Source organism: Homo sapiens, chromosome 22, assembly GCF_000001405.40.
Source record: "Homo sapiens chromosome 22, GRCh38.p14 Primary Assembly".
NCBI lineage: Eukaryota > Metazoa > Chordata > Mammalia > Primates > Hominidae > Homo > Homo sapiens.
Genome location: NC_000022.11, coordinates 43,129,904 through 43,147,135, shown reverse-complemented (window position 1 = coordinate 43,147,135; position 17,232 = coordinate 43,129,904). Strand labels below are relative to the sequence as shown.

Here is a 17,232-nt window from a genome sequence, read left to right as displayed (position 1 = left end):
TCCTGCCTCTGCCTCCCGAGTAGCTGGGATTACAGGCATGTGCCATGACGCCTGGCTAATTTTTGTATTTTTAGTAGAGACAGGGTTTCGCCATGTTGGCCAGGCTGGTCTCGAACTCCTGAGCTCAGGTGATCCACCCGCCTTGGCCTCCCAAAGTGCTGGGATTACAGGTGTGAGCCACTGTGCCCGGCCGTCTTTTTTTTTTTTTTTTTAATATCACCTGTTATTTTAGATTCGGGGGTATATGTGCAGGTTTGTTACATGGGTATACAGTGTGATACTGAGGTTTGGGGTACAATTGATTCTGTCACCCAGATAGTGACCATAACAGTAGTAGGCAGTTTTTCAACCCTTGCCTCACTCCTTCCCACCTCTAGGAGTTCCCAGTGTCCATTGTTCTCATCTTTATGTACAGGTGTATCAATGTTTAGCTCCCACTTGTAAGTGAGGACATGCGGTATTTGATTTTCTGTTTCTGCCTGAATTTGCTTAGGATAATGGCCTCTAGCTGCATCCACGTAACTTCCTTTTCTTGCCGACTTTTCTTTTTTTTTTTTTTTTGAGATAGAGTCTCGCTCTGTCACCCAGGATGGAGTGCAGTGGCGCAATCTCGGCTCACTGCAACAACCTCGCCTCCGCGGTTCAAGTGATTCTCCTGCCTCAGCCTCCTGAGTAGCTGGAACTACAGGCGCGTGCCACCGTGCCCGGCTCATTTTTTGTATTTTTTAGTAGAGACAGGGTTTCACCATGTTGGCCAGGATGGTCTTGAACTCCTGACCTCATGATTCGCCCGCCTTAGCCTCCCAAAGTGCTGGGATAACAGGTGTGAGCCACCGCACCCAGCCCTTTTTTTTATTTTTGGAGATGGAGTCTCACTCTGTCACCCAGGCTGGAGTGCAGTGGCACGATCTCTGCTCACTGCAACCTCCACTTCCCGGGTTCAAGCACTTCTCCTGCCTCAGCCTCCCAAGTAGCTGGGATTACAGGCATGTGCTACCACACCTGGCTAATTTTTGTATTTTTAGTAGAGATGGCGTTTTGCCATGTTTGGCCCCACTGGTCTTGAACTCCTGAACTCAGGTGATTCGCCCGCCTCGGCCTCCCAAAGTGCTTGGATTACAGGTGTGAGGCACTGCGCTGGCTTTTTTTTTTTCTTTTCTTTTCTTTTTTCTTCAGATAGGGTCTCCCTCTGTCACCCAGGCTGGAGTGCAATAGTTCAGTCCTGGCTCACTGCAGCTTCATACTCCTGGGCTCAAGCAGTTCTCCCGACTCAGCCTCCTATGTAGCTGGAACTACAGGCACGAGCCACAGTACCTAGCTTTTTTTTTTTTTTTCCTTTTGTAGAAACAGGGTCTTTCAAGTATCTGCTTTTGATGAATAAAAAAGAAAACAGTGTGACTATGTTGCCCAGGCTGCTCTCGAACTCCTGGCCTCAAGTGATCCTCCTGCCTCGGCCTCCCAAATCACTGGGATTACAGGCCTGAGCCACTGTGTCTGGCCAATAATTTTCTTTTTTTCTTTTTCTTTTTTTTATTTGAGACAGAGTTTCACACTTGTTGCCCAGGCTGGAGTGCAATGGCGTGATCTCCGCTCACTGCAACCTCCGCCTCCCGGGTTCAAGCGATTCTCCTGCCTCAGCCTCCTGAGTAGCTGGGATTACAAGCATGAGCCACTGTGCCTGGCCCAGAGACCCCTTTGTTTGTCCCTTTCCGGTGAAACCCCAGATGGGTCCCAAAGTGGGGGAGGGGCATCACCCAGTGGCTAGGGAGGTGGAGGGGACCTAAAGATCTGTTTCTCAAAGGCACCTCCAAACAATCCTCTTTGTTTTAGCCTTCTTTCACTCTTAGATCTAGAAGCAGCAGCAGCTGCTACCTGTTCTTAAGTTTTTGAGGATTCTGTTGTATGCATAAGGATTGGCTCGCAGCCTTCCCCACTCCTGGGAGGGATTTAGCTGTCTGAGATCAGCTCAGTCAGGTAATACCAGCCTACCTGCTTTCCAGCTTCCAGAGATTCTGCTGCTGGCGGTCCCCTTTCCTGTTCTTCCTGTCCTTGTGGATTTATATCTTTAAATATCTCTTTGTTGTGGATTTATGGGCTTCCAGAGGCAGTGCTCTCTCTATGCGTCTTAACCTGAAAGTGTCCTCTGTGTGTGTGTGTGTGTGTATATATATATATTTTTTTTGTTTTTTGTTTTTTTCTGGAGATGGAGTTTCATTCTTGTTGCCCAGGCTGGAGTGCAATGGCGCAGTCTGGGCTCACTGCAACCTCTGCCTCCTGGGTTCAAGCAATTCTCCTGCCTCCGACTCCCAGGTAGCTATGATTACAGGCATGTGCCGCCACGCCCAGCTAATTTTTGTATTTTTTGTAGTGAGGGGGTTTCACCATGTTGACCAGGCTAGTCTTGAACTCCTGACCCCAGGTGATCTGCCCGCCTCGGCCTCCCAAAGTGCTGCGATTACAGGCATGAGCCACCGCACCCAGCCTTTTTTTTTTTTTTGAAACGGAGTCTTGCTCTGTCACCCAGGCTGGAGTGCAGTGGTGGGATCTCGGCTCACTGCAACCTCTGCTGCCCGGGCTTAGGGGATTCTCCTGCCTCAGCCTCCCGAGTAGCTGGAACTATAAGCGCCCACCACCACGCCCAGCTAATTTTTGTATTTTTAGTAGAGACGGGGTTTCTCCATGTTGGCCAGGCTGGTCTTGAACTCCTGACCTCAAGTGATCCATCTGCCTCAGCCTCCCAAAGTACTGGGATTACAGGCATGAGCCACTGCGCCTGGCCGAGCCTGTGTCTCTTGAGTTGCTTTTAGGTTAACATTAGATAACCCCAATTTCCAACCTCCATTCTGTCACTAACCACCTGTCACTCAATCTCTGAGCAGCTATCCATCACAGCGTTGCTGTGAGGAATTAAATAAGCTAATATCTGAAACACATTCAAGGCTTTGTTCAATAGCATAAAGATCTATTGGATGCTTATTATGTGCCAAGCACTGTGTGGTTTGTAAGAAAACATTATAAAAGAGAGCTGTTGTATAGTTGGGAACTGGCAACGGATGGTCGGCCATGCCAACTCCTGTGGTTGGGAGGATCATATGCAAGAAATGTGGTTGCTGGCCGGGCGCGGTGGCTCACGCCTGTAATCCCAGCACTTTGGGAGGCCGAGGCGGGTGGATCACCTGAGGTCAGGAGTTCGACACCAGCGTGGCCAACATGGTGAACCCGTCCCTACTAAAAATACAAAAATTAGTCAGGCATGGTGGCGGGCGCCTGTTAATCCCAGCTACTCGGGAAGCTGAAGCAGGAGAATCGCTTGAACCTGGGAGGCGGCGGTTGCAGTGAGCAAAGAACACGCCACTGCACTCCAGCCTGGGCGACAGAGCAAGACTCCGTCTCAAAAAACAACAACAAACAACAACAACGACAACAACAAAAACCATCAATGTGGAAGAGTTTCAAGTGCTCTTCATGTGCCAGGTAGAAAGCGTAAATACTACATTGCGTTGCGTTATTTATTCCATAAATATCTGTTGAGGACCCACTGTGGTGTGGCATCGTGTTCCGTTCAACGGCTATGGCTGTTTAAGTAAACGCATGAGTCCCTCCAGGACCCCAGAACGCAGCCCGAAGGGCCTCAGAGCCGGGGCGGAACCAGCGTCTGCGGAACCTTTCTTCCCGCTCCCGGTGCCCCGGAAGCCCCGGCAGGAAATGCGTCAGGGACCACGCTGCGCCGCGCCGCCGCAGTCGGGCCTCGGTCGCCACGGTAACGCGCGCGGGCAGGTGTCCGACCATGAGCGTCCGGGTCGCACGGGTAGCGTGGGTCAGGGGCTTGGGCGCCAGCTACCGCCGCGGCGCCTCGAGCTTCCCGGTGCCTCCGCCGGGCGCCCAGGGTGTAGCGGAGCTGCTGCGAGATGCGACCGGGGCGGAGGAGGAGGCGCCCTGGGCGGCGACGGAGCGGCGAATGCCGGGCCAGTGCTCCGTGCTGCTCTTCCCGGGCCAGGGCAGCCAGGTGGTGGGCATGGGCCGCGGTCTGCTCAACTACCCGCGCGTCCGCGAACTCTACGCCGCCGCCCGCCGCGTGCTGGGCTACGACCTGCTGGAACTGAGCCTGCACGGGCCGCAGGAGACCCTGGACCGCACCGTGCACTGTCAGCCCGCGATCTTCGTGGCATCGCTGGCCGCTGTCGAGAAACTACATCACCTGCAGCCCTCGGTGAGGCCCGAGGCCCCGTGACAGGAGGGGGAAGGTGAGCTCTGCCTGAGCTCTTGGCCCTGCCAGAGGCTTCCGCCTGCCATTCCGGGGGCTCCCACGTCTTACTCATTCGATCGAGTTTTTTTTTTTGTTTGTTTTTGTTTTTTTTTTTGAGACGGAGTCTCGCTCTGTCGCCCAGGCTAGAGTGCAGTGGCGCGATCTCGGCTCCGCCTCCCGAGTTCACGCCATTCTCCTGCCTCAGCCTCCCAAGTAGCTGGGACTACAGGCGCCCGCCACCATGCCCGGCTAATTTTTTGTATTTTTAGTAGAGACGGGGTTTCATCGTGTTAGTCAGGATGGTCTTGATCTCCTGACCTCGTGATCTGCCCGCCTCGGCCTCCCAAAGTGCTGGGATTACAGGCATGAGCCACCGTGCCCGGCCCGTTTTGTTTTGTTTTTTGAGACAGAGTCTTGCTCTGTCACCCAGGCTGGAGTGCAATGGCGCAGTCTTGGCTCACTGCAACCTCTGCCTCCCAGGTTCAAGCAGTTCTCCTGCCTCAGCCTCCGCAGTAGCTGGGATCACAGGTGCACACCACCACGCCCGGCTAATTTTTTTATTCTTTACTTAAATCCTCCCAGGTTCACCCACCTCGGCCTCCCAAAGTGCTAGGATTACAGGTATGAGCCACTGCACTGGCCTAAATGAAGGAACATTGAGATGAGTTGAGAATGTCACTTCACTTGAAGGTGGTGGATTGATTGCTATTAATATTTAATAAGACGGTAAATGTTAAGCTAGCACTTGAGATCCTTTACCCTATTTCACCTTCACACCACCTTGTGAGGTTAATACTGTTATTTGATGGTTGAGGAATGCAGACTCAGGGATATTAAAAGAATTAGTTAAGTGGTCCTGTTGAATCGTCATCATAATATTCATTCACTGCTTACCCTAGTCTGGGTCTGTGCTAAGCACTGTATAGACATTATATTCACATAATTCTCTCATCCGCCCTTTGGGGTAGGCCCTGTTCTTCCCTCATTTCACAGATGAGATAAAAATGCTCTTGGCCGGGCGAGGTGGCTCACGCCTATAATGCCTATAATCCAGCACTTCAGGAGGCTGAGGTGGGTGCATCACGAGGTCAGGAGTTCAAAACCAGCCTGGCCAACATGGTGAAACCCCGTCTCTACTAAAAATACAAAAATTAGCCAAGTGTGGTGGTGGACACCTGTAATCCCAGCAACTCGGGAGGCTGAGGCAGGAGAATTGCTTGAACCCGGGAGGCGGACGTTGCAGTGAGCCGAGATCACGCCATTGCACTCCAGCCTGGGCAACAAGAGCAAAACTCCGCCTCAAAAAAAAAAAAGTCATGCTCTTAACTTGTGCACAACGATATGGCCTGAGAGCCTGCTGCAGGGCCATGGCAAGGGAATCCAGAGCCCTGGGTTGGCGTCAGTGTGACCATGGACGGAGTTGATGGACTGTAACTAACCAGGAAAGCTCCTCCTAAATAAAGGGGCAGGACTCAATGATTGTCAAGGTCACTTTTGTGTGTCCTCTTCCAGCTGGTGCACCAAGTTCGTAGAACCTGGCTCACTGAGATGCTGAACACCCCGCCAGCTCTCAGGTACAGAGCCCTGGAACTGGGATCCCCAGGAGAGTGAGGGCTCACGTTCTGCATCTGTCCCCACAGGTGATTGAGAACTGTGTTGCTGCTGCTGGATTCAGTGTGGGAGAGTTTGCAGCCCTAGTGTTTGCCGGAGCCATGGAATTTGCTGAAGGTACAGGAAGGAGTTTGGTTTTATGCAAGGCTGTGGTCTTGGGCTCATTAGGGGTAAGGGACACTGCCAAAAATGATACTGGACCCACTCAGGTGATGGGAAGGGAGCACATGGACAGGGGTGACATTGGCACATGAGGACAGGGCTTTGCTGTGATTCCTTTTCAAGACTGAAGGATTCATTAGGGATTTCCCTTATTTTTGTAATCTCATGAAATCTGCTTGCTGAACTGTCTAACCCGCTATCCTGTGCACTCATACCTGCAGCACCTGCAACACGAGAGTATGTGTTCAGTAGATATTCGTTGAATTAAAGAGTAAATAAATATTGGATCTGGAGCCATATCAGTTTTACTTCTTAAGATTTTTGCTGGCCAGGAACCATGGCTTACGTCTGTAATCCCAGTGCTTTGGGAGGCCAAGGCAGGAGGACCACTTGAGGCCAGGAGTTCCAGACCATCTTGGGCCACATAGTGAGACCTTCATCTCTGCCCCCAACAAAAAACAAAAATTACGTTGGGTGCAGTGATTCACACCTGTAATGCCAGCACTTTGGGAGGCAGAGGCAGATAGATGTTTGAGCCCAGGAGTTTTAGACCACCCTGGGCAACATGGTGAAAACCCCATCTCTACCGAAAATACAAAAATTAGCCAGGCATGTTGGTGTGCGCCTGTAGTCCCAGCTCGAGTACTTGGGAGGATGAGGTGGGAGGATTACCTGAACCCAGGAGGTCAAAGCTGCAGTGAGCTGTGATCGTGCCACTGCATTCCAGCCTGGGTGACAGAGTGACACCCTGTCACACACACACACATACACAAAATTAGCTGCACTTAGTGGCATGCATCTGTAATTCCAGCTACTCAGGAGGCTGAGGGAAGATCACTTGAGCCCCTGAGTCTGAGGCTGCAGTGAGCCACGATTGTGCCACTGCACTGCGGCATGGGTGACAGAGCAAGACCCTGTCCAAAACAAACAAAAAAGAATCTAGTATAGAAACACGAGAGGTTATTGGGACTGGAGAGGGAGAAATGGAGAGTGCCTACATAGTGGACATGGAGTGTTTGAAACTAGAGAGAGTTGGTGGTTGTACAACATTATGAATACCCCAAATACCACTGAATTATACACATTAAAGTGGTTAATTATATTTTATGTGAATTTCACTGCAGTGCTTTTTTTTTAAGCGTTATAACATTATTAAGGAAAGTTTCATAATTTCACATTTTATGAAACAATTTTATTACATGTATCATTTTATGTGTACATAATGTGCAGAATTAGGCTTGGTGTGGTGGCTCACGCCTGTAATCCCAGCCCAGCACTTTGGGAGGCCAAGGTGGGTGGATCACCTAAGGCAGGAGTTTGAGACCAGCCTGACCAACGTGGTAAAACCCCATCTCTACTAAAAATTCAAAAATTATCTGGGTGTGGTGGCGTGCACCTGTAATCTTAGCTACTTGGGAGGCTGAGGCACAAGAATCACTTGAACCAGGAGGCAGAGGTTGCAGTGAGCCGAGATTGTGCCACTGCACTCCAGCTTGGGTTAGAGAATGAGACTCTGTGTCAAAAAAAAAAAAAAAAGTGCAGAATTATAGCATAGTTACACTTTTGTGTTTTCTTTTTCTTTTTCTTTTTTGAGGCAGTATCTTGCTCTGTCACCCCAGCTGCAGTGCAGTGGTGCAGTCGTAGCTCACTGCAGCCTCAGCCTCTTGGCCTCAAGTGATCCTCCCGCTTCAGTCTCCAGACTAACTGGGACTACAGGCTCACACCATCATGCCCAGCTAATTTTAGAAGTTTTTGTAGAGATGGGGTCTCGCTATGTTGCCAGGGCTGGTCTGGAACTCCTGACTCAAGTGATCCTCCAGCTTCAGCCTCCTACAGTGCTGGGATTACTTACAGGCATTAGCCACTGTGCCTGGCCTACTTTTTTCCCTTGACATTTTACATAGTTTTGAATGTCTCTGTGGGAGGATGTCTGCGTGCTCTCCTCCCTTTTCTTGTATGTTTTCTTCTACTTCTTGTCACAGGCTCTTGTTCATTTGTTTTTTAAGAGACAGAGTTTTCCTCTGTCTTCCAGCCTTGAGTGCAGTGATGCAACCATAGCTCACTGCAGCCTCTAACTCCTGATCTCAAGCAGTCCTCCTGCCTTAGCCTCCTAAGTACCTGATGTCACAGGCTGTTTATGTATTTGTCCTCCTGTTCTTGTGTAAGGGAGCTAAAAGTCCAGTACATAGAAGTGCTAAGTGAATGAAGATATGTCAGGATTTGCTCCTTAGACCTCTCTGTTGACCTGTGAAACACTGTGCAGGTCCCTTAATCTCTTCTCAGTCTGGTCATCTCTTCTCTCTGCCCAGGAAGCAGGACCAGGGTGTCAGGGGTCTGGTAGTTTCAGGCCATTCTTATGTGTGGCTTTGTAGGGATTTTTGAGACAGGGTCTCGCTCTGTCACCCAGGCTGGAATACAGTGGCATGAACACAGCTCACTGTAGCCTCAACTTCCTGGGCTCCAGCAATCCTCCCACCTCAGCCTCCCAAGTAGCTGGGACCACAGGCGCACACTGCCACGCCCGGCTAATTTTTGTATTTTTGGTAGTGACAGGGTTTTACCATGTTGTCTAGTCTGGTCTCGAACTCCTGAGCTCAAGTGATCTGCCTGCCTTGGCCTCCCAAAGTGCCGGAACTACAGGTGCGAGCCACAGCGACCAGCCCTCAGGCCACTCTTATTATCATTGGCACTGCCTGCCCTCTCTCCATGCTCTTGAGCCACACTGAATCAGGAGTCATAGGTTTTCGTTCATCTGCATTGGCTGTGTCAGGTTCTCCAGCTCTAAGTGGGGACAGTAACACTTGACTTATGACAATTATGTCACTGAAATTCATGTAGTACAGTAGCCCATGTCTCTGATGGTTCTTTTTTGTTGTTCTTGTTTTGAGACAGGGTCTTGCTCTGTCACCAGGCTGGTGTGCAGTGGAGCAATCATAGCTTACTACAGCTGCAGCCTCAACCTGCTGGTCACAAGTGATCCTTCCGTGTCAGCCTCCCAAGCATCTGGGACTACAGGCAGGCACCACCATGCCTGGCTAATTTGTATTTTATTTTTTGCAGGGACAGGGTCTCCCTATGTTGCTCAGGCTGGTGTCGAGCTCCTTGGGCTCAAGCCGTCCTGCCTCAGCCTCCCAAAGTGCTGGGATTACAGGCATAAGCCACCATGCCCGGCCTGATCTCTCTTAATAAACTAACTAATAATAATTCCCAGCTTTCACAACAGCCCAGGCAGATTAGATATTATTATCCTCATTTTACTAACTAAAAATTTGAACCTCAAGGAGGTTGTGACTTGGCTAAGGCAATGTGGCTTCCACCCTGTTCCTCTTTACCTTTTACCAGGGTTTCTCAATAGTGGCACTATTTAAAAAAAAAAAAAAACAGTGGCGCTATTGGGCCAGGTCATTTGTTTTGTTGGGGGCAAGGGGGGCTGACCTGTGCAGTGCAGCATGTTGAGCAGCATCCCTGGACTCTACCCACTAGACGTCAGTGGCACTCTCCCCTAGTCAGAACAACCGGAAAACGTCTCCGGACACTGCCCCCGGCCTGTTGAGCACCACTGTCCTACTCCAAACCAGCTTTATAGCAGGAAGCTCCTTGGGTTAGTTTGTATAGTGCCAAGCACAGCAGCATACTTTTGGTGGTGAGCGCTTGTGCAGTCGATGGAGGTGTGTGGAACTGTGGCCCTGCTGGCTGGTGGCAGACACCAGTGCCCCTGTCTCTAGTGCAGAGTGGAGCTTGGGCTTTGTTTCTCAGGCCTGGCCTTTTCTCCTTCATTCTGTGCCCTCATTTTTCCAAATGCGCTTCTCTCTGGCCAGGTTTGTATGCAGTGAAAATCCGAGCTGAGGCCATGCAGGAAGCTTCAGAAGCTGTCCCCAGTGGGATGCTGTCTGTCCTCGGCCAGCCTCAGTCCAAGTTCAACTTCGCCTGTTTGGAAGCCCGGGAACACTGCAAGTCTTTAGGCATAGAGAACCCCGTATGTGAAGTGTCCAACTACCTCTTTCCAGATTGCAGGGTGATTTCAGGACACCAAGAGGTGGGTGTTGATGGGAACTGCCTTCATAGGCCAGTCCAGTACGGAGGGTTGGAACTGCTCCACACCCGTGAGGCCTAGCAGTCTGGCGGGTGCTGGGTCCAGCCCGGTCTTTAGGAAGTATTTTGGGGCCAGGGCAGTGAGGTAGACCGAGTGCTGCAAAGCAGGCAGGAGCAAGAATGCTGCCCTGCTCCACCACGTGTAGAATGGGGTCTGGAACCAACCAGCCAGCCCATGTCTAAAGTAAAGGGGCAGGGCCAGCTGATCTCCAGGGCCCTTCCCGTAGTACATTCTGGGCTTCTGAGGAGCCTGTGATCTGGTTGCTTCCTTAGAGAAAAGAGATTTGTTTTCTGCTAGATTGCTCTGCCTGCCCTGCTTTTTTTAGGTGTCTGTTTTTGCCCTGGAGTTCATTTCCTTTCCACCGTATTTCCTTCCATTTGCTACTTCCCCAAACATTTATCAAGGGCTGGGGACGCACAGACTGATTAGCCAGGGTTCCTGCCGTCAAAGGAAGAGCCCCGTGAATGGATGACTCCAGGCCGAGGGGTGCAGTGAGGGTCTGGCTGGCTACTCATGGGCCTAAGAGCAACCCAGGAGGCAGCAGCTGGAGGACGGGCATGTGTTTGCCAGCAGGGGGCACCCTGAGCAGAGCGGCAGGAGCCCCCTACAGAAAGAGCAGTGGGTGCTGAGTGCCTGGCTCAGGGAATGCTGAGTGAGCGCAGATTGCAGCCCGTGTGAGGGGCTGCTGCCCGGGCCAGGCATTTCTGTCTTACTTCATGTCCCTCACAGCCCATCCTGTGCTATATGGAAGGAAGGGATTCTTTTTTTGTTTGTTTGTTTGAGACAGGGTCTCACTGTGTTGCCTAGGCTGGAGTATGGTGGCACCATCACGGCTCACTGCAGCCTGGACCTCCTGGGCTCAAGTGTTCCTCCTACCTTAGCCTCCTGAGTGGCTTGGATTACAGACACGGGCAACCACACCTGGCTAACTTTTGTATTTTTTTGTAGAGACGGGGTTTCACCGTGTTGCCCAAGCTGGTCTTGAACTACTGGGCTCAAGGGATCCCCCCACCTCAGCCTCCCAAGTAGCTGGGACTACAGACACAGGCCACCACACCCAGCTAAAGGAAGGGATTCTTAATCACATTTTCCACACAAGGATGCTGAGGCAGAGAGAGGCAAGTGCTTGGGGATAGTAGAGGCAGAATGGGAACCTGAGTCTGTCTCACTCTGGAGTCTGTTTCCGCCACTTGACCGTGCTTGGCTCCCCTTCCCCTTTGAGGGCTCACCGTGTGCCAGGCGTCCTCAACTGCCTCCTCTGAAGTAGTGAGAGCTGGCAGGAGCCTCTTATGACTGTTCTGAGATGGTGGGCAGGTCAGGTATGGTGGCCCCAGGTCAGTCTTGGAGCTAGTTAGGCGTTCCCTTTACCAGCCTTGGAAGGAAGCCCAGAAGTGGCTCAGGAAGGACTTCCCAGTCAGGGCAGGAGTCTCCCCAGTAGGCTCCCAGACAGGTGCACCCAGTCTAGGTGACAACTCCTAGGTTCATCCTTTTGATTTTTTTTTTTTTTTTTTTTGTTTTTTGAGACAATGTCTTACTCTGTCATCCAGGCTGGAGTGCAGTGGCACGATCTTGGCTCACTGCAACCTCCACCTCCTGGGTTCAAGTGATTCTCCTGCCTTAGCCTCCCAAGTAGCTGGGACTACAGGTGCATGCCACCACACCCAGCTAATTTTTTGTATTTTTATTAGAGACGGGGTTTTACCATGTTGGTCAGGCTGGTCTTGAACCCCTGACCTCAGGTGATCTGCCCACCTCGGCCTCCCAAAGTGCTGGGATTATAGGTGTGAGCCACTGTGCCCAGCTTCCCTTTGGTATTCTTGGTAGTGCCACAGCAAAGAGCTCAGGTGAGGGCAGGGGTACCCCCTCAGGGGGGAAGCCCCTTTCCAACAACTGATGTGAAAAGGCTCCTGGGCCCTGCTCGCCCAATGCCTGGGCCAAGGACTGGCCATTGGAGAGGAGACTGCTGGCCCCTGTGATGGTGACCTTGAGCCCTGTGGCCCTAGCCTGGGACTTGAGAGGGCTCAGCTGTTGAGCCAGAGTCCAGAGATCTTACACGGAAAGCACTTTGAGACCACAGATGCTCCAGGAAGTGCTACTGAGTAGCCATCCCCATACCTGCCAGTCACTCAGACAATCTAGGTGTGGAGGGAGGGGCTTGGGCTCCAGAGTCTGGAAGGCCCAGACCAAAGAGGCTCCTGGTTCCTGCGGTCCAGCCTCAGTGGGATGGAGCCACATGGAGGGTGATGGTGGAGGGGAAGCACGGGTGAGTCAGTACAGGCCAGGTTTTGTTGCAGTGACAAGTAGCCCACACCTCAGTGGTCACAGCACACAAGCACCGGTCCCACTCCTGGTCTGTGCTCGCCAGGCTGGGTTCTGCTTTTCAGCCCAGGACTCAGGCAACAGGAACAGTCTCTAGGGAACACTGACAGACTAAAGCAGGTGGATGACTTGAGGCCAGGAGTTCAAGACCAGCCTGACCAACATGGTGAAACCCCATCTCTACTAAAACTTAGCCAGGCGTGGTGGTACATGCTTATAGTCCCAGCTACTCGGGAGGCTGAGGCAGGAGCATTGCTTGAACCTGCGAGGTGGAGGTTGCAGTGAGCCAAGATCGCACCTTTGCACTCCAGCCTGGGTGACAGAACAAGACTTCATCTCAAAAAATAATAAAGACCTTTGCAAGTTCTGTTGCTTGCTCACTGTTGCAAGGGTTTTGGAGCTATTGGCTCGCCCGAGGCCCCTTCTGAGCTCAAATGCCTTCAGGGGAGGTTTTTGGCATCAAGAGGAGAGCTCTTTCCTTCTCCAGAGAAACCTCAGATGAAAGTGACAATATCCTAGACCCTGCATTGTGAAATGGGGCTTGAATTTTAGTTCTGAATTTTTATTTTGAAGATTATGGAATAAAAAGCAAACAGACTGGTCAAAAATTATGAAAGGAGTGATAGAATTCTCATTGAGATCCGGGTGCGGCGGCTCATGCCTGTAATCCCAGCACTTTGGGAGGCCGAAGAGGGTGGATCACGAGGTCTGGAGATCAGCTAATACAAAAAATTAGCCGGGCGTGGTGGCGGGCGCCTGTAGTCCCAGCTACTTGGGAGGCTGAGGCAGGAGAATGGTGTGAACCTGGGAGGCGGAGCTTGCAGTGAGCCAAGATTGTGCCACTGCACTCCAGCCTGGGCCACAGAGCGAGACACCGTCTCAAAAAAAAAAAAAAAAGAATTCTCATTGAGAACTAACACTTCTTAGATAGTGCGTTTTCCTCTACCAGACACTGTTGCATGCCTTGTAGGGTTTGCTCTTCCTGGCAGCGTTGTGAAGTAGATGGAACTGTGCTTATTTGAAGGCTGGGACAGAAGAGATTCCAGGATGTTAAGTGAATTGCCTGGGGATGGTGCTGGGACAGACAGGTCACATGTCCACATCTAGCAGCTGTGGGTCTCTTTGTGGTCACCCTCCCAGTTTGGCCCTGTGAATGGTCAGATCTGTAAAGGCGGATTTCTGGGACATTGCTCGGCTGAAACCTCCTTCCTTCCCCAGGCTCTACGGTTTCTCCAGAAGAATTCCTCTAAGTTTCATTTCAGACGCACCAGGATGTTGCCGGTTAGTGGCGCATTCCACACCCGCCTCATGGAGCCAGCCGTGGAGCCCCTGACGCAAGCTTTAAAGGCAGTCGACATTAAGAAGCCTCTGGTTTCTGTCTACTCCAACGTCCACGCGCATAGATACAGGCATCCCGGGCACATCCACAAGCTGCTGGCCCAGCAGCTGGTCTCCCCAGTGAAGTGGGAGCAGACGATGCATGCCATATACGAAAGGAAAAAGGGCAGGGGGTTCCCCCAAACTTTCGAAGTAGGCCCTGGCAGGCAGCTGGGAGCCATCCTGAAGAGCTGTAACATGCAGGCCTGGAAGTCCTACAGCGCCGTGGATGTGCTGCAGACCCTCGAACATGTGGACCTGGACCCTCAGGAGCCCCCGAGATGACTGCAGGGGGCTCAAATGCGATGACCCCCTCTGTCCTCCTGAGGAGAGGCTGTAGGCTGTGCCTGTCGCCCCCTACCTTCCTAATGGCTCCTCCTCTGAGGAGTGAAAGGGATTTGTTTGCAACGTGCTTTGAAGGCCACATAAAAAGCCCTAAAAATGAGTATTTCTTTACATGACCCAGTCCATTTCTCCCCCTTGGAAAAACGTTTGGACGTTGGGAAGAATGATGCCACAGGGCTGGTGTGTGGGGAAGCTAGAATCCTGGCCCCGCCTCTGCCAGCCCTGCACCATAGGCAGGTGTGCCATCTCAGCGGGAAGGGGAGGACTGGCTGCTGCAGCCTGTCCTGCTCTGTGAGTGCTGAGAACATGCTGGTGTGGCCTCAATTTCAGCCAGTGCCAGGGGAGCCCCTCCACCACCCCCAGCCTGCCCCCCAGGGCTCCTTTGTCACAAATCTGAAAGGTTTTAGAACCCAGTTGGCCTTGGCAGTTTTGTTCACCTCCTCACTTGACAGCTGGGAGACAGAGGCCCACATTTATGGACATACCCAAGAGATATGTATTGCCTGCTGTGTGCTAGAGAGTGAGTGCGCTCTGTTCTGGTAGAAAGGTCCTTGAGTGAGGTGCGGGGTGTGGGGAGTGCCAGGTAGGGAGGGCGACTGAGGCCCTGGTCCTAGGGGTGGAACCATGGAGGAACACCCTGGTCACCCACTGGGACTGCGGGTCTGCGGGGCGCCAGAGGGAGCACAGCACATACCTGCCTCGGAGCTGACCCCTGGCTCCATGCCCCGTCCTCAGAGCAGCTCCTGCGCCAATATTAAGTATGAGACATTCCAAGCTGCTTGGGTGGTTGTTCATTATACAGAGATAGTGGGAAAATATTATTGGGAATGAACTCTCTGATTGTCTTAAAATGTTACCATTGTGTAGACACGTCAAGTCCTGGATAGGGTTCCTCATTTTCACATTTTTAGTTCTCTGGTGTTTCTCAGCAGGGCCCAGCTGGCCTTTGGGCAGAACCCTCCTTCCTTATATGGGAATGTCCCACTCTTGGGCAGCTGCCCTGGTGCCGGGCCATTACACACCAGCAGCACTTCCAGGCATTGTGACCCCAGACACCCTGCATGTCTCGAAGCCCTGGCTGAAAACACAAAAGCCGATGCGATGTGATTCCCACTGCAGCCTGCATGCGCGTCCCTGGGAGTGCGACAGTTCTTTGGAAAGAACTATGTCTTAAATCTGTATTGCACAGAGAACTTGATTATTTTAAGTACTGAGCATGTTTGAAGCTCCTTCCCTGAAAGCTTCAAGCAATGGCAGCCTCAGGAGACCCAGGCTCTCCACGTCCAGGTTCTCTTGCAGCGCTGCAGGAAGGATGGCCACGTTCAGCTCTGAGGAACAAAATCCCAAATAAGGGAGGGGTCTGCCTCTCCAGGAGGACAGCAGTAAGGGACAGCAGGCCTTACCACTTGCTCTCTCTGCACTACCCTTGTCCTCATGGCCTGGGGCAAGATCCAAGCCCATGAAGGGGTAAGAGAAATCAGCTGGGCATGGCAGTGCGCACCTGTAATCCCAGCTACTTGAGAGGCTGAGGCAGGAGAATCGCTTGAACCTGGGAGGCGGAGGTTGCAGTGAGCTGAGATCACACCACTGCACTCCAGCCTGGGTGACAGAGCGAGACTCCATTGTGAAAAAAAAGTGTTCTCCATGGAACAACATTCTGTCCAGATCAGGGCTCAGCCTGTCTTTGCTGAGCACATCCTGGCCTGGCCTGATGCCTTTACATTTCACTCACAAGCCCGCCCACCTCTGGCCAACAAGAGTGGTCTCCAGCCAAGCACGGTGGCTCACACATGCAATTGCAGCACTTTGGGAGGCTGAGGCGGGTGGATTACCTGAAGTCAGGAGTTCAAGACCAGCCTGGCCAACATGGTGAAACTACATCTCTACTAAAAATACAAAAATTGGCCAGGCATGGTGGCTCAGGCCTGCAACCCCAGCACTTTGGGAGGCCGAGGTGGGCGGATCACCTGAGGCCAGGAGTCAAGACCAGCCTGGCCAACATGGCGAAACCCACCTCTACTAAACATACAAAATTAGCCAGGCTTGGTGGCACATGCCTGTGATCCCAGCTACTCAGGAGGCTGAGGCAGGAGAATCACTTGAACCAGGAGGTGGAGGTTGCAGTGATCCAAGATCAAGCCACTGGACTCCAACCTGGGCAACCATCACAAAACTCCCATCTCAAAATAAAAATACAAACATTAGCTGGGCGTGATGGTGCATGCCTGTAGTCTCAGCTACTCGGAAGGCTGTCAGGAGAATCGCTTGAACCCACGAGGCAGAGGTTGCAGTGAGCCGAGATCGCGCCAGTGCACTCCAGCCCGGCCGACTCCATCTCAAAAACAAAAAACAAAAACAAACAAAAAAAAAACGGTGTGTGAAGTCAGGCCTCAAAGCTGCAAAGGGCTGTGTGCAGTGGTGTGTGTGCCTGCAGACCCAGCTATTTGGGAGGCTGAGGTGGGAGGACTGCTTGAGCCCAGGAGTTGGTGGCCGACCTGGGCAACACAGGAAAGCCAAGTCTCTTAATTAAAAAAAAAAAAAAAAAAAAAAAAAAAAAAAAAAAAAGGCTGCAAAGGGCCAGACCTTGGGGAGAGAAGACATAAGGAGGCAGGAAAGCCTATTGGAGGTCCCCTTTGGTTTGGAGGCCAGGATGGAGGGAGGAGTGAGCAGGATGCAGGGTCTGCCCAGCCAGCCTGGGAGGTATGAACAGCTGCATCTCCCAGCTCTGGGGATGAGGGGGGTTGGGGGCTGGAGAATGGTGGCCGGCCCAGCCCAGCTTTGACATTTGGGGTGGAGGGCAGACACAGAGCCGATGTCCTGGGAGGGAGGCCTGGTGGGGTCTACAAATGGCACGAGGCAAGGCCCAGGGCAGGTACCAAGCCTACAAAGGTACAAAGCAGGGTCCTGGCCCTCCTGCCCCTGGTGCCCCTTGTCCTGCTCCCCAATCCCCACCACACCTCTCCCTGTGAGCGGAGCCACGGCTGCATCCCTGTGGTGAGGAGTCTGTGCAGGGAGAGGCAGGCATCCCCTAAAGAGGAACTGAAAGCCCAAAGGAAATAACCCCCAACAGTGGATTTTA

The 17,232-nt window shown here is 52.2% G+C and overlaps 1 protein-coding gene across 3 annotated transcripts, besides 2 other annotated features; it reads left to right on the top strand.

Moving 5' to 3' along the window:
• Nucleotides 3,714–3,983: a silencer, noted in NCBI's record as "silent region_13855". NCBI's record gives its function as "represses an Ori minimal core promoter by ATAC-STARR-seq in GM12878 lymphoblastoid cells {active_cell/tissue: GM12878}" and the evidence as "EXISTENCE:reporter gene assay evidence [ECO:0000049][PMID:35858748]".
• Nucleotides 3,738–14,930, top strand: MCAT (malonyl-CoA-acyl carrier protein transacylase). Of its 3 annotated transcripts, NM_173467.5 has the most exons (4): nt 3,738–4,210; nt 5,887–5,974; nt 9,838–10,055; nt 13,650–14,927. In NM_173467.5, exons 1-4 carry the CDS (start codon nt 3,788–3,790, stop codon nt 14,091–14,093), a joined length of 1,173 nt encoding a protein of 390 aa, NP_775738.3. In that variant the 5' UTR covers nt 3,738–3,787; the 3' UTR covers nt 14,094–14,927. The 3 variants fall into 3 exon arrangements, 2 of the variants coding, with proteins under 2 accessions (NP_775738.3, NP_055322.1); NR_046423.1 differs by lacking the exon at nt 9,838–10,055 and having other exon boundaries at nt 3,739–4,244; nt 13,650–14,930; NM_014507.3 differs by lacking the exon at nt 9,838–10,055 and having other exon boundaries at nt 3,739–4,210; nt 13,650–14,930.
• Nucleotides 9,528–9,697: an enhancer, noted in NCBI's record as "experimental_63425 CRE fragment used in MPRA reporter constructs". NCBI's record gives its function as "activates a minimal promoter by MPRAs in K562 erythroleukemia cells, with activity observed for the introgressed 22:43533530 variant allele {active_cell/tissue: K562}" and the evidence as "EXISTENCE:reporter gene assay evidence [ECO:0000049][PMID:34662402]".
• Nucleotides 14,931–17,232: the final 2,302 nt, after the last annotated feature.

Coding starts and splice junctions, on each gene's coding strand:
- MCAT (NM_173467.5), top strand. CDS start 3,788: ATGAGCGTCCGGGTCGCACGGGTAGCGTGGGTCAGGGGCTTGGGCGCC. Junction 4,211..5,886: donor TACATCACCTGCAGCCCTCG/GTGAGGCCCGAG, acceptor CTGTCCCCACAG/GTGATTGAGAACTGTGTTGC. Junction 10,056..13,649: donor TGATTTCAGGACACCAAGAG/GTGGGTGTTGAT, acceptor TTCCTTCCCCAG/GCTCTACGGTTTCTCCAGAA.